At 44.9% G+C, this 21,778-nt stretch overlaps 2 protein-coding genes across 17 annotated transcripts in view; one reads left to right on the plus strand and one right to left on the minus strand.

Annotated features, from left to right (window-relative positions):
• On the plus strand, positions 15 to 16,541 carry MTNAP1 (mitochondrial nucleoid associated protein 1). 15 transcript variants are annotated; one of them, XM_011524961.2, is made up of 6 exons: positions 15 to 211; positions 802 to 907; positions 3,058 to 4,577; positions 9,826 to 9,933; positions 10,478 to 10,585; positions 14,823 to 16,541. In XM_011524961.2, exons 3-6 carry the CDS (start codon positions 3,065 to 3,067, stop codon positions 14,921 to 14,923), a joined length of 1,830 nt encoding a protein of 609 aa, XP_011523263.1. In that variant the 5' UTR covers positions 15 to 211; positions 802 to 907; positions 3,058 to 3,064; the 3' UTR covers positions 14,924 to 16,541. The 15 variants fall into 15 exon arrangements, 14 of the variants coding, with proteins under 14 accessions (XP_011523263.1, NP_001338193.2, NP_001373907.1 ...); NM_001351264.2 differs by having other exon boundaries at positions 15 to 71; NM_001386978.1 differs by lacking the exon at positions 14,823 to 16,541 and adding an exon at positions 12,750 to 12,928 and having other exon boundaries at positions 15 to 71.
• The window catches only part of CPSF4L (cleavage and polyadenylation specific factor 4 like), a 21,678-nt gene continuing 9,582 nt past the window's right edge, over positions 9,683 to 21,778 (minus strand). Inside the window, exons 4-6 of one of the 2 annotated variants that reach the window (XM_011525115.3) lie at positions 21,513 to 21,608; positions 20,212 to 20,305; positions 9,683 to 10,014 (exon numbers count right to left, since the gene is read on the minus strand). In XM_011525115.3, coding sequence (XP_011523417.1) covers positions 10,005 to 10,014; positions 20,212 to 20,305; positions 21,513 to 21,608 — 200 coding nt within the window. In that variant the 3' untranslated portion in view covers positions 9,683 to 10,004. Of the gene's footprint in view, positions 10,015 to 16,030; positions 16,119 to 20,211; positions 20,306 to 21,512; positions 21,609 to 21,778 lie in introns of those variants that run through there. The other variant, NM_001129885.1, reaches the window with a different exon arrangement.

Genomic DNA, 21,778 nt, shown 5'->3' on the forward strand with positions numbered 1-21,778 from the left:
CTAGGAGCTTCTGGGAGAAAGGACCTCCCCTGGGGTGGCAGAAGCGCTCGCCTGTTCACAGCCAACGGAGGGTACGGTATAAAAGTCAAGCCAGGTTTCAAATAAATTCAATTATGTCATAATAATATCATACAAGTATTTGAGTTGAATCCGTGTAACATATTTTAAAACAGGCGGACCTATCCGGCAGTGGTGCAGACGGCCTGACGAGGTTCCTTGGCCGGGGGTTGGGCAGGGGCCTGGGGGGCTTCCCTGGGGGGCTTGTCGCCGGGGCCGCCTGGGCTTTCAGGTCTTCCGAGGTGAGGACGGTGCTCTGTGGGGAGCTTGCAAGGGCGGGTTTGTTTTCCGCGGCCCACGTTCTAAGTCTGGGGGAGACTCTCCTGAGCGGAGAGGGTAGGGAATCGGGTGCCGGGGCCGGCGGAGGGTCTTCCTGGAACCGCAGGAGGAAATCCTCGGTGGGGCTGCGGGAACGGCTGTCCCTGACCCAGGAGCTGCCGGGCCGACCCCATCCACTCCGCAGAATCAGAACAGCTGGCAGAATCAGAACAGCTTTCAGGGAAAGGAAGGGTGCGGGGAGGTGGGCAGGCTGGTAACGCAGCGGGAGGAGGGAAAGGCGGCTGGAGAGCGCCGGAGGTGAGGGTGAGGATTAGTGGAACTATTGAGGTCCTCCTTGAGCCCGGAGGCTGGGGAGGTCTTAACTCTCTGCTTTCCGGAACCTGTGTTTCTATTTGGTTCAGTATCGTGCCGCGTTTACTCACTGTGCATGCTGCCAAGTCACCTGTCTGATCGTGTCCTACACAGGCTGACATTCACGTTTCATTCTGCCACACTCGGGAACGGTGATCGGGGAAGCATGGGGATCCGGGAGAAGCACCCACAAAACTAGCATCCTCCTGGAGGAGCTCGGGTAAGAAAACAGACACCCACGTATAGACGTTATCGTGGGAATGTACCGGGATCTTTCAAGTAGGGTTGAGTGTGAGGTGGAGTGGAGGCAGAAACGTCTAGCAGGTGTCAAGCCCTTCCTAACGTTGTTAGCCGAAGGTCCATGGACTGGCTTCATTTGTGTGTATTATTGTAAACAAACAGTCTGTGGCTTTCATCCTGTTAGTGTGTACCTCCAAAGAAAGAAAGAATGATGGCTCACGCCTGTAATCCCAGCAGGCTGGGCGCGGTGGCTCACGCCTGTAGTCCCAGCACTTTGGGAGGCCGAGGCGGGTGGATCACCTGAGGTCAGGAGTTCAAGACCAGCCTGGCCAACATGGTGAAACCCCGTCTCTACTAAAAATACTAAAATTAGCTGGGCGTGGTGGCGCACGCCCTTAATCCCAGTAATCCCAGCCACGCGGGAGGCTGAGGCAGGAGAACCGTTTGAACCTGGGAGGCTGAGGTTGCTGTGAGCCGAGATCGCGCCACTGCACTCCAGCCTGAGTGATAGAGCAAGACTCCATCTCAAAAAAAAAAAGACCAAACAACAACAAAGTAAAAATGATTACTGTAATCTGTTGGCAGAAAACAGTTTTGTTTTGAAGGACTTCGTACAGGATAAGGTGGGTTGGTTGCTTTATTGAATGGATTGGTGAAGATTGTGTCTATTTTGTAAGTGGTTTCAGTCACCCTTTTTAATCTCTTTGGTAGTCAGAAGATATTATCAGTTGTAGTACTGAATAATATTTAAACGTTTATATCTAAAGAATTAAGTGAACAAATATTGTATGCCAGGCTCAGTGCTAGGTTTTTACATACAGCTGTGTGCAGGATAGATATGTTTCCTGCCCTCTGGAACTTTATAGAAAGAATAAGAGATGTAGAAAGGAAATAACTTTCAACTAAACATTGGAATTAAACATTTTCTTTTCTGGACTCTAAAGAATAACAGGTACAAATATACATGGTATAAATGTTTTTTTTTTAATTTTTTACATCGTATATGTTTAACAAAGATGTCAAACTAATTTGCCAGTAATCTGTTGTACTAGAAACTATAAGTAGGCCAGGCGTGGTGTCTCACGCCTGTAATCCCAGCACACTGGAAGGCCGAAGGCGGGCAGATCACGAAGTCAGGAGATTGAGACCATCCTGGCCAACATGGTGAAACCCCGTCTCTACTAAAAATACAAAAATTAGCCTGGCGTGGTGGCGCATGCCTGTAGTCCCAGCTCCTCGGGATGCTGAGGCAGGACAATAGCTTGAACCTGGGAAATGGAGGTTTCAGTGAGCCGACACTGCACTCCGGCCTGGTGACAGAGTGAGACTCTGTCTCAAAAAAAAAAAAAAAAAAGTATAAGTGAAAAACAGGACTGTGTCCTTGGCCATGTATATATTTGTGCATTATGCATACATTTTATGTATATCTGTGTGTGTGTGTGTGTGTATATGCATATTACTAAATGTTAGTAGAGCTTCATTTCTCATTCTTTGATTGTGGTAATTCTAATATTTTCTTCTTACACCCTAGTGCATATTCTATTTATCACTTTGGAAACCTCTGCTGTAATCAGTAACCTTTGGCTGGGCGTGGGCGTGGTAGCTCGCGCCTGTAATCTCAGCACTTTAGGGGGCTGAGGTGGGTGGATTGCCAGAGCTCAGGAGTTCGAGACCAGTCTGGGTAACACGGACACGGTGAAACCCCGTCTTTACTAAAATACAAAAAATTAGTCAGGCGTGGTGGCATGCCCCTGTAGTCCCAACTACTTGGGAGGCTGAGACGAGAATTGCTTGAACCTGGGAGGCGGAGTTTGCAGTGAGCAGATATTGTGCCACTGCACTCCAGCCTGGGTGACAGAGTGAGACTCTGTTTCCAAAATAAATAAATAAATAAATAACCTTTGGTTCCTGGCCTAAGTTTTTTATTCTTTACCATTCTGTCCTTGAATAACGTGTTTAAGGGTTTTTAAACAATTTTTTATACTCATATAATGACTAGTTGACTTGCTGTAACCGTAAGTAGCAAACATCTAGCTTGTTCCAAATGAATTTAAAAGATACAACACATAAGTAAAATATTGGTATGTACAAACTATGTGCTTCTCATAATCTCACATTTACCTTTTTCAGGAATAGGATGAGTGATAATCCACCCAGAATGGAAGTGTGTCCTTACTGTAAGAAGCCATTTAAACGATTAAAATCCCACTTGCCATACTGTAAGATGATAGGACCAACCATACCTACTGATCAAAAAGTTTATCAGTCCAAGCCAGCTACACTCCCACGTGCTAAAAAGATGAAAGGACCAATCAAAGATTTAATTAAAGCTAAAGGGAAAGAGTTAGAGACAGAGAATGAAGAAAGAAATTCTAAGTTGGTGGTGGACAAACCAGAACAGACAGTGAAGACCTTTCCACTGCCAGCTGTTGGTTTGGAAAGAGCAGCTACTACAAAGGCAGATAAAGACATCAAGAATCCAATCCAACCATCCTTCAAAATGTTAAAAAATACTAAACCAATGACTACTTTCCAAGAAGAAACCAAGGCTCAGTTTTACGCATCAGAGAAAACCTCTCCTAAAAGAGAACTTGCCAAAGATTTGCCTAAATCAGGAGAAAGTCGATGTAATCCTTCAGAAGCTGGAGCGTCTTTACTGGTTGGCTCAATAGAACCTTCTTTGTCAAATCAAGATAGAAAATATTCCTCAACTCTACCTAATGATGTACAAACTACCTCTGGTGATCTCAAATTGGACAAAATTGATCCCCAAAGACAGGAACTTCTAGTAAAATTACTAGATGTGCCTACTGGTGATTGTCATATTTCTCCAAAGAATGTCAGTGATGGGGTTAAAAGGGTAAGAACATTATTAAGCAATGAGAGAGATTCCAAAGGCAGGGATCACCTCTCAGGAGTCCCTACTGATGTTACAGTTACTGAGACTCCAGAAAAGAACACAGAATCCCTCATTTTAAGCCTTAAAATGAGCTCATTAGGTAAAATCCAAGTCATGGAGAAACAAGAGAAAGGACTTACCCTGGGAGTAGAGACGTGTGGGAGCAAAGGAAATGCAGAGAAAAGTATGTCTGCAACAGAAAAGCAGGAACGGACTGTCATGAGCCATGGCTGTGAGAACTTCAACACCAGGGATTCAGTCACAGGAAAGGAGTCTCAAGGGGAAAGACCACATTTAAGTTTGTTCATTCCGAGGGAGACGACTTACCAGTTTCATTCTGTATCGCAGTCAAGTAGTCAAAGTCTTGCCTCTCTAGCTACAACATTTCTTCAAGAAAAGAAAGCAGAAGCCCAGAATCATCATTGTGTCCCTGATGTAAAGGCATTAATGGAGAGTCCCGAGGGACAGTTATCTCTGGAGCCCAAATCTGATAGTCAGTTCCAAGCATCACACACTGGGTGCCAGAGCCCTTTATGTTCAGCCCAGCGTCACACTCCTCAGAGCCCCTTCACCAATCATGCTGCAGCTGCTGGCAGGAAGACTCTTCGCAGCTGCATGGGGCTGGAGTGGTTTCCAGAGCTCTATCCTGGTTACCTTGGACTAGGGGTGTTGCCAGGGAAGCCTCAGTGTTGGAATGCAATGACCCAGAAGCCACAACTTATCAGTCCCCAGGGGGAAAGACTCTCACAAGGTAAACAAGCTTATTTTCAATTGCCATCTGTCCCATCCAAAATGCTCTCTCTGCCTTTTGAATTTATAAGGGTCAAAATACTAACATTTTCAGTCATTTAGTTTATTTTCACCTAGGCATGCCAGTAGACTGCATATAAAGTTGTCCTGAAAGAGGCTGGGTGTAGTGGCTCACACCTGTAATCTAAGCACTTTGGGAGGCTGAGGCCAAGGCAGGTGGATCACTTGAATTCAGGAGTTAAGACCAGCCTGGGCAACATGGTGAAACCCCATCTCTACTAAGGATACAAAAAATTAGCTGGGTGTGGTGGCGCACCTGTAGTCCCAGCTATTTGAGAGGCTAAAGTGGGAGATCACCTGATCCCGGAAAATCAGGGCTGCAGTGAGCCGAGTATGTGCCACTTCACTGCAGCCTGGGCGACGGGAATGAGACCCTGTCTCAAAAAAAAAAAATTGTCCTGAAAACATTACTTCTTGCTTCAGTGGTCAGTAGTGGTGGTTTATCCCTCTCTTTTTCTCTCCCCCAAGAGTTGAGGGTTACACTAGGGCAGGCTGGCGATACTGAAAGCAGTTGAGTTTCTGCCTTGAGAAGAGGCATGTCCAGTAGAAACTGGATGGGTAAACAGACTGGAGAAAAATATAAAGACTTGAAATTCAGCTAGATAGAATAAGCACTGTGTTCAGAATCCAGTCAGGACCAGGTTGTACAAGAAATAGGTTCTAAGTTTACAGGACAAGAAATAGGTTCTAGGTTTCAGGCAAATGCAACATCTAGGAATTTAGAGTAGCAAAGTAGGATGCAGGTGGTAGGACACAGGTAAAACTAGCCAGGTAAGACGGGCAGGCAAGGCAGATAAGTGGAAGTGGAGGCTCAGGAAATGAACAGTGAAGATCAAGGACCAGAAACGGAGGATGTGGCCAAAAACAAAAGAAAAAATGTAGGCCACAGAGACTAGGACCCAAGAATAAAACCAGTGATTGAGCCTGGAAACAGGAGAGATGAGGCGAGAAGGGCTTGGGGCGAAAGACTGAACGTTGAAACTCACCTTGATTATGAATCAAACTTCAGAAGCTTCCTAGAGGCTCCTTTTGCTGATGGCTGGAATCGGTTAACAGGAGGGAAGACCAAGGCCCAAGGAGCCAGGAAGTTCCTGACAGTCATTTGAAATATCTTTGCTTTTCTCTGCTGAATCTCATCTTTAGTTATGAGACCACCTCTCTAGTTAAAATACATAAAGTTTCTTAAGCTTTTCTAGGGGCAGGGTGATTGTAAAGTAGCATACCTGTCGTTTGTAAAGTAGCATACCTGTCGTGTGTAGTGGCCATTGGTGCTTTCATGCTTATTTTGACAGGAGACCTGTAACAACTCAGAATAGGTTTGCAAGAGAAAAACTGGTATTATCTCTTCCTAAAGGGAAATCATTTTCTTCTCTGGTAGATTTTGCAAATGATCTCATATTCACTAAACCTCTATTTGCCTGGTCTCAAAATGGATGTGTACTAAAAGCAGAACATTGCTAGCCCAAAGCTACATTTTCTTTAACTACCTTCTATAAACAGGCCTAACGTCTAGACCTTTTTGCACAAAGTTGTAGTCACAAAGTCAAGCCCCTTCTCCGTAATAAACACATTTAATTATATTAACATTTGTGTTGCTTTGTGGTTTTCAGAGTGCCTCCATCTGTATTTTTTTTATTTTGGGCACAAGGTGGACAGAGAGGTGGGCAGAGTGAATTTATCCTATTTTGTGGATGATGAAACAGGCACAGAGAGCATAAGTGATTTGTCCAAGTTTGTGTTGCCAATAAATAGTAGAGCTGCAAGGAGAACCTAGTTTCCTGAGGCCTAGTTTAATCTTTTCCACTAAACCATGTTGTAGAAAATACACCATAACTAAAACCATGTTTGTTATAGTGCCATACTTTTCTGTGTGTGTGTGTGTTTTGTTTTTTTGTTTGTTTGTTTTTTGAGACAGAGTTTTGCTCATTGCCCAGGTTGGAGTGCAGTGGTGTGATCTTGGCTCACCTCTGCCTCCTGGGTTCAAGCGATTCTCCTGCCTCAGCCTCCCAAGTAGCTGGGATACAGGTATGCGCCACCACGCCCGGCTAATTTTGTATTTTTAGTAGAGATGGGGTTTCTCCGTGTTGGTCAGGCTGGTCTTGAACTCGTGACCTCAGGTGATCTGCCCGCCTCAACCTCCCAAAGTGCTGGGATTACAGGTGTGAACCACCGTGTCCAGCCTTCTGTGTTTTTCAGTTGCAGATGCACACACTCCCCCCATGATAAATCTCTCTACCAAATTGAAGGACTTGTGTATTTTCTGTACTACATTTTATAGTGCTTAGGAGTGTCCTTGATACACACTTTTCATTTTAGAGGAAAAAGTGAGGGACCTGACGTTTATCTGTGATGACTATGACTATCGTTATGCTAGATACATTATGTCATTTAATCCTCATAACAGCTCTGAGTGACACCACTGTCCCACCCTCTTATTCCTCTTGAGGAATCTGAGCTTCAGACATCTTTTTTTTTTTTTCTTGAGACAGAGTCTTGCTCTGTCTCCCAGGCTGGAGTGCAATGGCACAATCACGGCTCACTGCAACCTCCACCTCCCAGGTTCAAGCGATTCTCCTGCTTCAGGCTCCAGAGTAGCTGGGATTACAGGTGCCTGCCACCACGCCCAGCTAATTTTTTTTTTTTTTAAGTAGAGATGGGGTTTTGCCATGTTGGCCAGGCTGGTCTCGAACTCCTGACCTCAGGTGATCCTCCCGCCTTGGCCTCCCAAAGTGCTGGGATTACAGGTGTGAGCCACCAGGCCTGGCCTGAGCTTCAGACATTAAGTGACTTCCCTATGTTCATGCAGTAAGTGACAGAATCAGGATTCAAACCCAGGTTCGTCTGACTCTACTAACTATTCCAAACAGTGAACCTCAAGTTGAGTTTAAAGACCACAGATAGAAGAGTCAGGTGAACCTGGAGGTATTAACTACTAACTCTCCCAAACAGTAAGCCTCAAGTAGAGTTTAAAGACCACAGATAGAAGTCAATACCTTGTTTGATATGTTATTGATACATTTCACTGTTAGCTCCTAAGAATACAATAATAAGATACAGTAACTTAAAACATTAAATTACCAAGGTTATGAGACAGGATATAGGAGGGAAAATAGAATTTTTTCTTCAGTAACAAGTTCCTTCCAAATAGTGGTGAGAAACTATTTTAATCCCTTTTATTGCTCATAGTCTGTAACTAATAAATGTTGTACTTAGTTTGGGACTTCTACATCAAGACAGTAAATAAGGTGTAATCATCATAGGGCCTCTACTTCTATTATAAACTGAAAAACTATTGAAGTTGGATCCAGGATCAGTGTTCAGACTTTGATGTTACCACCAAATGAACACAAGATACTAGAGGAGAGAGACCCTAGGATCAGGTCAAGCCCTGATCCCTCCATTGGCCAAGGACTTCAAGGCCATATCAATCTATAGGGATTAAAAGATGGTGCCATTGGCTCCTTAAAAAGCTTTGTAATTTCACCAGGCAATGACTGTCTCCAATGACTGCAAATTAGAGTTTTATTGGAATCTTTGCACAAGAGAATGGGCTATACCTTTTCTCACTCAGGCAAGACCTTTGATAGGTCATTTGCCCTTCTCAGGAAGCCAACTCATTCCTTTGGTACTTAAAAGGCAGGGCCAGTGAGCTAACAGTTACTGAATTAACTGCAGGTCAGGACAGTAGGCTCACCTGACTGGAGAAAGCAGGGCAAGGTCAGGGAGCCACGTGATCCTGACACTGCTGACAACATGGTTGCAATTTTCAGGAAGTTGTCTCTTTACACCGTTTTCCTCAAATTTTTTCCAAGATGAATGGGTTTTTTTTTTAAGAGACTAACCTTCACCTTGCAAGAGAATTATCTTCTGTGCAATTTCTTGGAAGCCAGCATGATTCTTTTCATTGTTCTTTAATGATCATTTGGATATTTTTACATCCACAGCAACTTTTACCACACTTGCTAAACCTGTTGTCGGTGTTTAATTTCTTCTTTATCTTGATGAACCAAACCAAGACTAGAGAACTATCAGTAGTAGAGATTACCTGTCATAAAACATGGAGAAAACCATGTACAGGAGAAATGTGATTAAGGAGCATAAGCCCTCTTTTTTTTGTTTTTGAGGCAGAGTCTTGCTCTGTTGCCCAGGCTGGAGTGCAGTGTAGCGATCTCTGCTCACTGCAAGCTCCGCCTCCTGGGTTCACGCCATTCTCCTGCCTCAGTCTCCCGTGTAGCTGGGACTACAAGCGCCCGCCACCACGCCCGGCTAATTTTTTCTGTTTTTTAGTAGAGACGGGGTTTTACAGTGTTAGCCAGGATGGTCTCAATCTCCTGACGTCGTGATCCACCCACCTCAGCCTCCCAAAGTGCTGGGATTACAGGCGTGAGCCACCGCGCCCGGCCTGCATAAGCCCTCTTTTCTGGTTCTGCTTAAGTTATTCATGCACTGAACATAAATAGGAAATGTTTGCTGGCCAATAATAGCGATAGGGTGATAGAACAGGCATGTTGACTGTGGGCAAGTCACAATCATAAAAGGAGAAAGTCACGCTTTTAGCTGACATGTTTAGCAGATGATAGAATATGTAAAAGAGGCCAGGCGCAGTGGTTCATGCCTATAATCCCAGCAGTTTGGGAGGCTGGGGCGGGCAGAACACATGAGGTCAGGAGTTCAAGACCAGCCTGGCCAAAGTGGCGAAACCCCGTCTCTACTAAATAACAAAAATTAGCCTGGCGTGATGGCGTGTGCCTGTAATCCCAGCTACTCGGGAGGCTGAGGCAGGAGAATCACTCGAACCCAGGAGGTAGAGGTTGCAGTGAGCCAAGATCATGCCACTGCACTCCAGCCTGGGCGAGAGAGTGAGACTGTGTCAAAAACAAAAAGATGATGTAAGAGACTCACTTCATGAAGCACATGCGCATCAATCACCTGGCCAGGGTACTCAGCAGACCAAAAAACAAGTAGACGCCCTGATTTTCAGGGGTCCCTTGGCCTTTTGAAAAACATTTTTTCAACCTGTAATTGATTTGACTTTCAACACTTAGCTGCAGTCCAATGCAGAAATCTTTAATGCACCTGTTTAGAATATGCTCTTCCTGAGGCTTAGCCGTGGATCCTTCGGCACTGGATGTTAGGGAAGGGGGTACGTTTCGGTAAACAATGACAGTGACTTCTGTTTGGAACCATAGTTTCTTTGTTGGAACGAAGCTCAACTCATATAAGGAGTTTGGAACCCCCTGCCGGACTTACAACCTCCAACTTCTCTCTAATGAGGCTCTTGGGAGCTGTACAAAAAGGTGAGGCTGGAGTTTGACTGTTGTCTTCTGTTGCAGGTTCTGGGCATTTGGAAAAGTTTCTCTTCGGGCTGTTAAGCAAGGCTAAAGAGGAGAGGAAAAAAATGTTAAAATGTGTGTTGTCTTCCTAGTTTTCCATTTGTCTGTGTTCATTTTGGAGTTGGACATAATTGAAAGCACCAAAGCTAATAACAGCTACCATTTATTCAACAGCTTGTATTTTTTAATACCTACCCCCAACTTTCCCTTGCCCACATTGATTGTGCCTCCTCCCAAAGCCAGAAAAACTCTAAACCTCAAGTTAACCAGTTGTATTAGCCTCCTCCCACTAAAGATTTTAACCAAGCACCCAAAACAAGAGTAACTAATTTGAATCTAGTCAAGTTAAGGTTCTTTGATGTTAGCCTTTATGTGTTTAAAATATGTGCGTGTAAATCTCTGAATTACAGTTCCATCACTCAGGCTAACTGGGAAAACTTGAATGACTCGCGGATACTGGCCCTAGTTTCAGTTGCTGTAACAACAAGCCGTGTTTCCTTTTGAACAGGCTGGATCAGGTGCAACACCACCATAAGGAAGAGTGGATTCGGTGGCATCACGATGCTCTTCACAGGATACTTCGTCCTGTGTTGTAGCTGGAGTTTCAGACGTCTGAGTAAGTCTTTCTATATTTCTAGCCTAAATAACAGGTCCCATTCCGTTATGTGGACCTCCAAGGGATTCTCTGAATTTTTTTTTTTTTTTTTTTTTTTTACAGCTTTACAGTATCTGGCATGCCCTGGTGAATGAGCTATTGCCTGGGGTTTCTGGGTTTTATTTTTTTGAGATACAGTTTTGCTCTTGTTGCCCAGGCTGGAGTGCAATGGCACGATCTCAGCTCACTGCAACCTCTGCCTCCTGGGTTCAAGTGATTCTCCTGCCTCAGCCTCTCGAGTAGCTGGGATTATAGGCATGCACCACCATGCCCGGCTAATTTTGTATTTTTAGTAGAGACGGGGTTTCTCCATGTGGGTCAGGCTGGTCTCGAACTGCCGACCTCAGGTGATCCGCCCACCTCAGCCTCCCAAAGTGCTAAGATTACAGGCATAAGCCACTGCACCTGGCAGGCTCCGGGGTTTTATTAGAGGCTTGGTTGTAATGGCCTGTATAAGATTTGACTAGAATTTACATAATTGCCCTTGTCCTCCATTTCATGTTGTCTTTTTTTTTTTTTTTTCCCACCCAGGCTAGAGTGCAGTGGCATGATCTCAGCTCACTGTAACCTCTGCCTCCTAGGTTCAAGTGATTCTTCTGCCTCAGCCTCCTGAGTAGCTGGGACTACAGGTGTGTGTCACCATGCCTGGCTAACTTTGTTTTTGTATTTTTAGTAGAGACAGGGTTTTCACCATATTGGCCAGGCTAGTCTCGAACTCCTGACCTCATGATTCTCCTGCCTCGGCCTCCCAAAGTGCTGGAATTACAGGCATGAGCCACCGCACTCAGCCTTTGTAGCTTTTTTCCCTTCCCTGCTAAAAGGTCAGGTACCTAAGAACTGTTACCCTGCTCCAATGGAAGGTGCTTTTCCTTGGTGCCTAAGAGCACCTTTTTGGCATTGAAACCAAACACCTTTACACCACAAAAGAGAGAAGGAGGAATAGAATACAGCTGTCACTTACCAATGTGTCTAAGTCTTATTGCTATCTCAGTTAATCTACTTTGAACACTTAAAAAACAAAGTGCCATTCTCCAAGTTTCAGCTTGCACTAAGTCTTAACCAGAAGGAAAATACCTTAATTTCATTTATCTTAATTCAAGATGTGTTTGTTCATTTCTTATTGTATTATTAAAAAAATCCTTCTAGTTAAAAAGATGAGTGGGTATCAAAAATATCAGCATTTTTGTATAATTAAATTTTTGTGCTGGTTTTTGTACAATCAAAAACCAGTATTTTGGGGCCGGGCGCGGTGGCTCACGCCTGTAATCCCAGCACTTTGGGAGGCCGAGGCTGGCAGATCACCTGAGGTCATGAGTTCAAGACCAGCCTGCCCAACGTGGTGAAACCCTGTCTCTACTAAAAATACAAAGATTAGCTGGGCGTGGTGGCGGGCGCCTGTAGTCCCAGCTACTCGGGAGGCTGAGGCAGGAGAATTGCTAGAACCCAGGAGGCAGAGGTTGCAGTGAGCCGAGATCGCGCCACTACTCCAGCCTGGGCAACAAGTGAAACTGCATCTCAAAAAAAAAAAAAAAAAAAAAAAACCACCAGTATTTTTGTACAATTAAAACAAAAAGCCCACTTTCAGATGAAAACTTCAGGTGTAAAAGTACAAGATAACGATGAATTCTGAAGGCCAGCATAATTCACACACTGGACTTCTTAAGAAAAAAAAAAATCACAATTTGATGCTAATTGGGATTCGTTTGATGAAATCAGTGCCTAGTGAGTAGCGGGTAGGTCCGACAGCAGGAACAAGGCGGCAGCACTCCTGCATGCTGGCTGGGATGGCCTCGCCGCCATCTCTTGTATCAGACACCTGGCCATGGGTGAGGAAAAGAAGTGCCTTTCTGATCGTCCTGCATAAATGGAGAGGCCCAAAACCAAGAGTCATTTCTCCCACAGAGAAAAGGGCTTTTCTTAAAGTTTTACCAGTCTGAAAGGGATTGTTTGATACCTGACATTAATGAACAGAGACTGAAGAAAGTGAAACAAACTTCTCATTGTGCTTAATACTCTATTTCTAAACTTATAAAACAAAAAGAGAATGATCTGTAGAGGCAAAAGATAGTAACAGTCATTGGAAGTGGCCTCTCGGATCCTTACATTTGTCTCTGTTTATCCAAAGAGCTGCAGCGGTGGCGTAAGTAGTGTTGACCTGGACATCACTTAAAGCTCTGGAACAGCAAAGGGCGTACAGTGGAGACGACTGCAATACATACTTAACAGTTTAAAAATGTATAATATTTGGGACAGGGAGAGGGGAGTGAAAAAAATAAAGAATAAAATTATTGGAATCTAAAATAATGATACAGGAAGTAAACGTATTATTAATATAGACAGATCTGGTTCTGTCTGGATGTTCTTGGCTTGCTCTCAGGAGCAACTGAGAATTAGAGAAAAACTAGTTTTGTTTAACCATAAAGTTGTTATTCAAGGAGATGTGAAGATGACAAAGTTCATCACTAAAATTAAGAAGTCACTTCTCAGTAAAAAGCTAGTATCTCATTACCATTCAGCTATATGAGATACCAGACTACTACCTATATGTTGATACAGGAAAGTATCTGAATTGGCAGAAAATAAGCCCACATCAGGCCCTTCCCCTTAGTTTCTTTGGGGCCCTTGACCAGATCTTGATAAGGTGTGAGAAACACAAGAGCTAAGGATGGGCATTCGAGTTGCAGGTAAGCCTCCGAAAAAAAGCTTACAAATATTTTTAAGCTGATTTTTAAAATAGCACACTAACTATAATGTTAAATCACATTTTATACATCTTAATTGAGTATAATAATGAACCGGTGGCTAATGTATCATCTCTTCCTGGAAACTTTTCAGAATCCCACCCCTATCTATCCCTTTCTCAAGAGTTTCTGTGCATTACTGAGAAATTCCTCTCCATTTGTTAGGGTTGTTTTTGGCTGGTGGGTTTTCTGTGTCTCTTCATCTCATCAAACTATTCAGTGTCTGATTTTTTGACTTCTGCTTTGGCCCACAGAGAGTAACTTGGATACTTACAGGTAGAAAAAGCTTTGAGGAAATTTAGGCAACGTTGATGGATAAGTGTTTCCCCAACCTCCTTTCTAACGTAGAGGGTTAGTTATATATCACACGCACACACCCGTCTGTCTCAGCTTTGCTTGTGGTGTCCTCATGCCAAAATACATGAGGTCAGTTCCTCTTATGTCCCAGCTCTTTTAAAACTACAGGAATGCTGGGTGCGGTGGCTCACGCCTGTAATCCCAGCACTTTGGTAGGCCAAGGCGGGCGGATCATGAAGTCAGGAGTTCAGGATCAGCCTGTGCAATGTGGTGAAATCCATCTCTACAAAAAAAAAATTGTAAAAAGTAGCTGAGCTCAGTGGCACACGCCTGTAGTCCCAGCTACTCAGGAGGTTGAGGCAGGAGAATCACTTGAGCCCAGGAGGCGGAGGCTGCAGTGAGCTGAGATTGTGCCATTGCATTCCAGCCTGGGTGATGGAAGTGAAACCTTGTCTCAAAAATCCCAAAAAACCTACAGGAAAGCCACAGCCAGCATGTGTTGACTTGTATGTCGTTTCTCTCTCTTCTCAAAGCTGGAATGCTGGGGCTACTTTTTACCTACCTTTTCTATTCCCAATCCCCTGCTCCTTTCCATCCCTAGTGGGAGTAATTTAATTCTGCAACAAATTCTCATAGTTAAGGTATTCAGCAATATATCCCTGTATCCTAGAATTCTCTGTAAGGAAAAAAGTTGTGGTTGAGGGGAAGAGTTCTACATTCAGTTATTTTAGTTTAATATTACTAAGAACTTCATTGGAACCCAGAACAATCTTCCCTGCCGAAAGAGCTTTGTGCCCATTCTCTGTGAATGCTCTTTAGGAGAGATGCTTAAGGATTCTCTCCACACCTCCCCATGTGTCCTTACTCAAGACCAGAAACTCTCAAGGTGAGAAGGTAGATGAGAATGACCTTCAGTAATACCCTCTTTCCCGGTCCCCCAGTTCCCTCGAGCAGGGGCAGCAGACCCCACTGTGACCCACGGACCAAAGCCAGCCCACTGCCTTGTTTTTGTATGTAGTCAAAATGTACAAAAACAAGCCCTGCTCATTTGGTTAGGTGGCATCCATGGCTGTTTCACACAACAACAGCAAAGTCGAGTAGTTGCGACAGAAACCATATGCCCTGAAAAGCTGAAAATATTTACTATCTGGCCTTTACAGAAAAATTGTGCCGACCCCTGCCCTGGAAGAGCACAGTACCTCCATGCATTGGTGTGGCGAAGACGACTGGGGATTGCCGCTCTAAAACATGTTTGGATTAGGAAGCACGTTTAAGTAGGAGAAGCCTTCGTGACTTCTCTCTAGTGCCTTCGTGCCCTGTGTTGCCCACTGAATTGCCCTGTAACACCTAAGTGTAGTGGTAGCATTAAGGGATAGCTTTTCAGCCCTCAAGGTTATCAGGAGCATTTGTATCACTGCTATAAATAAAGTAGTATCACTTGTCATAATCAGGGTGCTGAAACATAATGAAAAGGTTTAACTTAGTCACAGTAAATATTTTATATCCCTGAAAATAAGTTATTTAATGAGAATAGAACTATTTAATGATCCATGAGTCCTAAAAGGATATCTGCCTTGTATTGCCAAGTTTAAGGCAAAGGTGAGATCCTGTATTAATAAGAAGACAGCTTTTTTGTTTGACATTGGTAAGTACCAAGAATTCTAACTCACATATAGTAGGAAACAACAAAAAGTCTCCACTGACTTCTTTGAATTAGATACTGAGAATCCACAATACAGTAGTGTGGATAACTTTCAAGAAGCCATTGGAAACATCTCCACATTCTGGGATGACTTGTAAATGTCTACAGAGTAATGGAAGGAAAGGCTTCCTTGTCTGCTCATTGCTGCCACCTGGGTTGGGAAAATAATTGAAGATGTTTTCTCAAGTCCTTCAAGAATCTCTTCTTAATGTTCAGAATAGTTTAAGAGCGTTGTTGAGGTAAACTGATAGCTGATTATTTTCTGAGATTTAGATCTAAACAAACTCAGCATGACGAGGAAGCACACTTCACAGCTCCAGGGTGCAATACTGATGTAAAGTTGCCTCGTGAGGATACATTTTTCGCTCATGTATGCAAAATTCCTATCAGTTCATTTGCACAGCCAGTTCCAATCATGTATGTGATCACCAGATTAAAAGCTTCATCCAGAAAGACAAGACTCCTCAGAACGAATAGTAGACAAGTAAGACTGCTACCCACAGAAGCCAGTACGCTTCAGGTGTGAGGCGGGGTAACTACTCATCTCTTCACAGAGCCAAGGAAAGAAAAAGAACGTCTCTAACATGATTTACCATTTTAAACAGCCTTATAAGTTTTGTCTCTTAAAATCATGCTGCAGAAGGAGGGGGTAAAAGTCGTGTTCTGCCCTGTCTGTGGCATTGGAGTGCCCCGCTAGGTAAGAAGCAACGCTTAGATCTTGCTTCCAGGCAGCAGCTTGAATTCCCGAATCTTCCTGCAAGGTGCATACAAATGCAGCGTGAGAATCCATACACGTAATCCATATTCACCTTCCCATCCATCCCGCAGAAGAGGCATGGTGACACCCAGGCTACTGTCCATGCTTGAGAGGACGTATTTGAAGGTTCTGTTACTACAAGTTGGGAATATTCACGGACATGCCTGAATACCCCGGCTGTAACTCACACGTGGTCTGTGTAAGTGGATTAACCTCGGGGCGGCCTTGTTTAATCCTGAATAATATCTGAAAGACTGAGTTTACTTGGGAATGTGTAGTTTTTCTAATGCACATTAAAATTTATTTTAGCTGTTAAAAATAAAATCATTTTATTATCAGCAGACTCTTTTATACTTTATGGGGCATCTACATACTACTTCCGCCACTCTTCATAATAAAATTATTTGTAAAATATAAAAAGTACTCCCCTGAGCTGATTATATGCCTCTTCTAGAGCCTCACCTGTGAAATGGGTGGGTGTGTCCCTGGGTAAGTTACCCAGTTTACTGGAGCCTCCTTTGTACTGTAATTTAGGGATAATTATTCCTACTTTGCAGACATTTGGTGAGATTAGAAGTCTTACATGTGTTAATTCCAGCAACGTCTGTGATGGTAGGAACTCATTGACAGCAGCTGTTCTAAAGCCTGTAGTATGTGCCATCATACTATATATAAATTCCAACCTTGAACGGAGGAAGAGAGGCCCTACTGCAATCCACAGGCAGATCCAGCCAACATCTGGGGCTTGCTTTGTGCCGAGTGCCATGCAAGGTTTTTTACATGTGTTTTCTCCTTTTAGTTTCAAACAGTCCTGTGGCGTAGGTGCTATCCTGCTCATTTTCCAAAAAGAAAACGGGCTTGAGGTAGAGTGATTTGCCTACGTAGCTCTGTGCTGTTCATCACATAGCAGCCCCCATTGGTTTGAACTGGCATTCAACCCCCCAAAACCCGACTCCTGGGCTCCATTCTTTTAGACTGCCCTGACTGGGGACTCCAGCTCCAGGCAGGCCAGGCACCTGTCTTTTTACCAAGGTGGGGGGCCAGTTCTTCCTCACACATCCCATTGCTCTTCTCCATTATTCCAAAAGGCTCAGCACAGCCACTACCCCCCCTTTCCCAGTGGATTAAGTTGCTTGGTATTGGCCTTTCATGATGGCATTAAAAGATGGTAATACCGTTAAATTTTTGTGTTACTACCTTACCTCCCCAGGATAAGCCTATTTTATTCCATCTACTGCCCCATAATACTCCACACATAAGGTACAGAGTATATTCTTAGATTTAAATAAGCCATACAGGGAAGCAGCTGTCATGCTAAAGAAAGCCATTTGAGTTAATTGCCAGTTGATAGCGGCAGCTGAAGCCATATACAGAGGAGCTGCCACGTGCAACCCAGACCTGTTGGTAGGAGCTGAGCAAAGTATAATGATCGTGGATTTCCCATAGACTCGAGCTTTTGGTTTTATGTACATTTTGCTCCCGTTTTATGGATAACTCGTTCCTGCCAATCTGCCTCCAAACCTGTTGTATTTTTAGTAGCTCGTTCACTTACAGGATCAAAAGAAATAAACCTGCCTGCCACAGGCTACTTCTGCACCTCACTCATACCCTGCTTAGGATGACAGCAGGCTTACTGTGGAACTTGGGAAACAGAATCCCATAGTAAGACCATTGAGCATCTTCTCCTGACCATAGGTTAGTTTTTAATAACTCCTATCAGTTGAGTCTTACTGTACTTACTGGCATAATGGCCTGGTCTTTGACACAAAAACAGAAAAAGTGAATGGCATGACTTTTTGTAAATTCAGATTTCTAAAGATGTCTAGGGAACCATAGGAGATGGTTAGCTACCTTTGTGAGGAATTGGATGGATTCTGCTTGTTGGTGAAGCTTATTTCAGGCATTCAAGCCCAGCATCACAATCCCAGAGAACGAGGCTGGCACATAAAAGCAACTGTACAAGAAAAGTCAAGGGTTCTGCCACTCTTACCTGTCATCCCAATAAAACTATTCTCTTGCAGAATGGAGACTGCAAAGCTCAGGACAGTTTAGAAGCTATGAGAATGAAGATATGATCAAACATGATTTTTTTTCTTTCTGATAAACCAGAAGATACCAGAAAAAGGAACCAGGTGATACGTTCCCTCCCTTAACCATACTCTGCCCTCCTGCCAAAGAAGAATTTTAAGGACGTTATGTACAAGTAACTGAATAGTAGTAGGCAACAAAGTGGGAAATGACTGTTCCTTTTGCAGGAACAGTCTTGTCTAGCAGGAGATGCCAACAGGATGGTTTACAGTATCCTCTCATTCTCCCCTAATTCACACTCCTATCTGCTGCAGAAAAGGAGTCATTCTCCAGCTCCCTGATCATTCCTTGCCCTCCCAGCTCTCAGCCAAGCACTAGCCCAGCCCTGTGGGTTCCTTTGTCCACCCTGTGGCACAGGCCCTGCCCTTGACCCCTGATCCCCAGGCAGGAGAGCAGGCACTCTGTTGGGGATGGGGGTTTCCAAGCTTCCACAGCAGAAATAGGAGGTGCTGAATCCCGGGGCCGGCTGGCAAGCTACAGCTGAAGTGCAGTCGTGAGAAAACACCTACTGCAGATAGTCCCTGTGTGCAGACACCAACTTCACAGAGGGCCGGGACGCTGGCCATGCATTTAGGGTGAAACCAGGGTTCAAGATGCCTTTAGTTACAGTTTTAAGTGCCAAAAGCATACCTTTCCATCAAAGTTAGGCTTTCATTGTAAATGGGCTTGTAAATTCCCCGCAGTCCCACAGATCGCCTCCCACCTTCTTTCAAAGCCTGCTCAGAACCAGCAGGGACTGTCTTCCTCCCAGGCCATCACCCTCCCAGCATCCAGTGCTCGGAGGCCCCAGTAGCCGTCAGTAGCTGCCCCAGTGTTGGCGCTGTCTGGCCTCTGTGATACTTAAACAGGTGTCCAACATTCAGTCATCTAGACCAGGGGTCAGCAAGCTTTTTCTATAGAACACCAAACAGTGCATATTTTATACTCTGCAGGCTACTGGGTCTCTGTTGCAGCCACTGGACTCTGCCATTGTAAGCACCAGAACAGCCATGGCCATGTCCCAACAAAACCCTTTATGAGCACTGGAATTAATTTCACATGTCACAAAATATTTTGATTTTCCTCCCACTTTTTACAAACCATTCTTAGCCCCTCGCCTGTACAAAGACAGGCAGCAGGCTGGACTTGGCCCACAGGCTGTAGTTTACCAACCCCTGACATAGGTGCTCATCAACACTTGGGTCTATAGAGTGTGTGTGTCTCTCCATAGGGACTGAGCACAGTTCTCAATCAGGGCCAGCCCTGATTCCAAAAACCATGCGTGCTACCCAGCTAGCAGAAGGAAAGCCTTGGACTGGTCAACAGAGAAGTCCTACCCTACCCACAGCAGAGATTCTAGAGGTTGGAGAGTAGTCTGGGAGGAACAACCACATATATGTGTCCCACATGCATGATGACATGCCTTTCAAAGGAGAGTGAGGGTTCGCTGGGAACCATGCAGTGCTGCTGGGTGAGCTTCCCTGGGGAGCAGAAAGGAGTGGGAATAAAGGGATGAGGGATGACGGCACGTGCCTGCCTGCACTCACCTTCATGTAACTCGGGTTGAGTAAAAGATTCATCTTGGGACTAAGGGAAGTGGAGAGAGAGACGATTACAGCCCAGCTCTCGCCCTCCCATCTTCTGCTCATTAACATGCTCTGCGCCAGCCTGCTGCAGATTTCATATTTCAGAACCCTGTAGGGAAGTTGCCCTCCCTTAGCCAGGGCGTGAGGGAGAATTACAGAGGACTGGGGAGAAATGGGCATTAAGTGTTTCTTCTCTTATTACTAGAACAGTTTGTGAAAAGATCGACACCTATCCCCAGCATGAATACACATTAAGAGGATGGGTTAGAGTTCTGAGATTGCCAGGGTCAGGCAGTGGTGCCAGGAAAATACTGGAGCGGATGCTTGCCAGATGCTTCATTTTCCACTAAGGACCAGCGAAGGTATGGAAAGATCTAGAACTAGAAGGCCAGGCCTAGCACTCTGGTGGGAGTTGGTAACTGAGGGATCATACTTACTGAGCAAATTGGCACTTGGGTCCCTCGGGGCAGAAGCCAACTAAATAGTTGAGACACATTATTCTGGGGACATGGCGGTATTTACACAGAGGACCTGCTGAGCAAAGAGAAAGTGATGAGAAGGATCCGCTTCAGCAAGAGGGGAAAACACACATGAAAAAGCTCCCTAGGAAGGGTGTGGATGGTCATAGGGGCTTCACTTAATAGGGGTGGATAAATCTTCCCATCCTTTCTGTACCACCCTAAAGCATCCACTTCTAGCCATGAGACAGGGATGGGGAAAAGGAACCTTGGAATGTGCTGGAGCAGGTGTCAGCTGGCAAGTTCTGAAATAGAGTTGGAAATGTCACTGACATGCTGTGTCCTGGAGGACTGCATGGATATGAACCACACTTTGTTGCCTTTTATTTATTTAAGTATGGGAGGTACAGCTGAGAAAAAGCTGACCTGGCCGGGTGGGGTGGCTCACACCTGTAATCCCAGCATTTGGGAGGCCAAGGTGGGTGGATCACTTCAGCCCAGGAGTTCGAGACCAGCCTGGGCCACATGGTGAGACCCTGTCTCTACTAAAAATACAAAAATTAGCTGGGCATGGTGGCACACACCTGTAACCCCAGCTACTTGGGAGGCCGAGGCAGGAGAATTGCTTGAACCTGGGAGGTGGAGGTTGCAGTGAGCCAAGATCGCACCACTGCACTCCAACCTGGGTGATAGAAAGAAAAAAGCTAACCCCACAATCCTACTGATCTTCTCAGCAGCCCTCACCCCCGCCCAGATCCCTAAAACCAACAGCACTAAGAACTCCGTAAGAAAAACCTATCTGAAGACAAAGGAGAGGGAGAAACCCTGTTGCTTAGGGCATGGGAACCCTGCTGGGGTAAGCTGCCTCTTAAATTTGGCTGGCAGCAATGGGAAAGGTAGGACATGCTTAAGCAACACTCAGGACCCCCCAGGTGGGTAAGTGGAATGCGGAAGAGAGCACACATGAACTAAGCGTCTCCTATGGGCCTGACCCTGTGTCAAGAGCTTCCTGTGTGGTTCAGTAACTTGGAGAAAGGCATGCAGCTGATACATGCTGAAGGTAGGATTTGAACCCAAGTCAGTCTGCCTCAAGCCTGTTATGGCCCCACACCAGGCTGTGTTTTGTGTGTCACAGCAGAGCTGGAGGAGAACTACAGAAAGGCCTTCTATTTGGGGTTTCTCCAAGGCACAGCCTCATCAGGAAAATGGCCCCTCCCCTGCTGAGAGCTCCCACCCTGATCCCCACAGCCCCTAGGGCTCCCTGGCTTCCAAGGCCTCACCGTCCTTGCAGAAACCTTGGTCATACCAAGGACAGTCCTGGGACTTGAAAGCTGGCTTCACATGGAGGAAGGAACACTCCTTGTTGCTGCAGTCACCTGAAAATCCCAGCACTCTCTGTAGAAGCAGTTTCTCTTTGTGATCACTTCTGTGTCCCCAAACCAGATTGACCTTGCCCCTCACAAACACAGAAGACACTGGCCTTTATTCTGGGAGTCACCAGCTTTTTGAAGATGGAAAGTATGCCTAATCCTTGCTGCAGTCTAAA

Source organism: Homo sapiens, chromosome 17, assembly GCF_000001405.40.
Source record: "Homo sapiens chromosome 17, GRCh38.p14 Primary Assembly".
Taxonomy (NCBI): domain Eukaryota; kingdom Metazoa; phylum Chordata; class Mammalia; order Primates; family Hominidae; genus Homo; species Homo sapiens.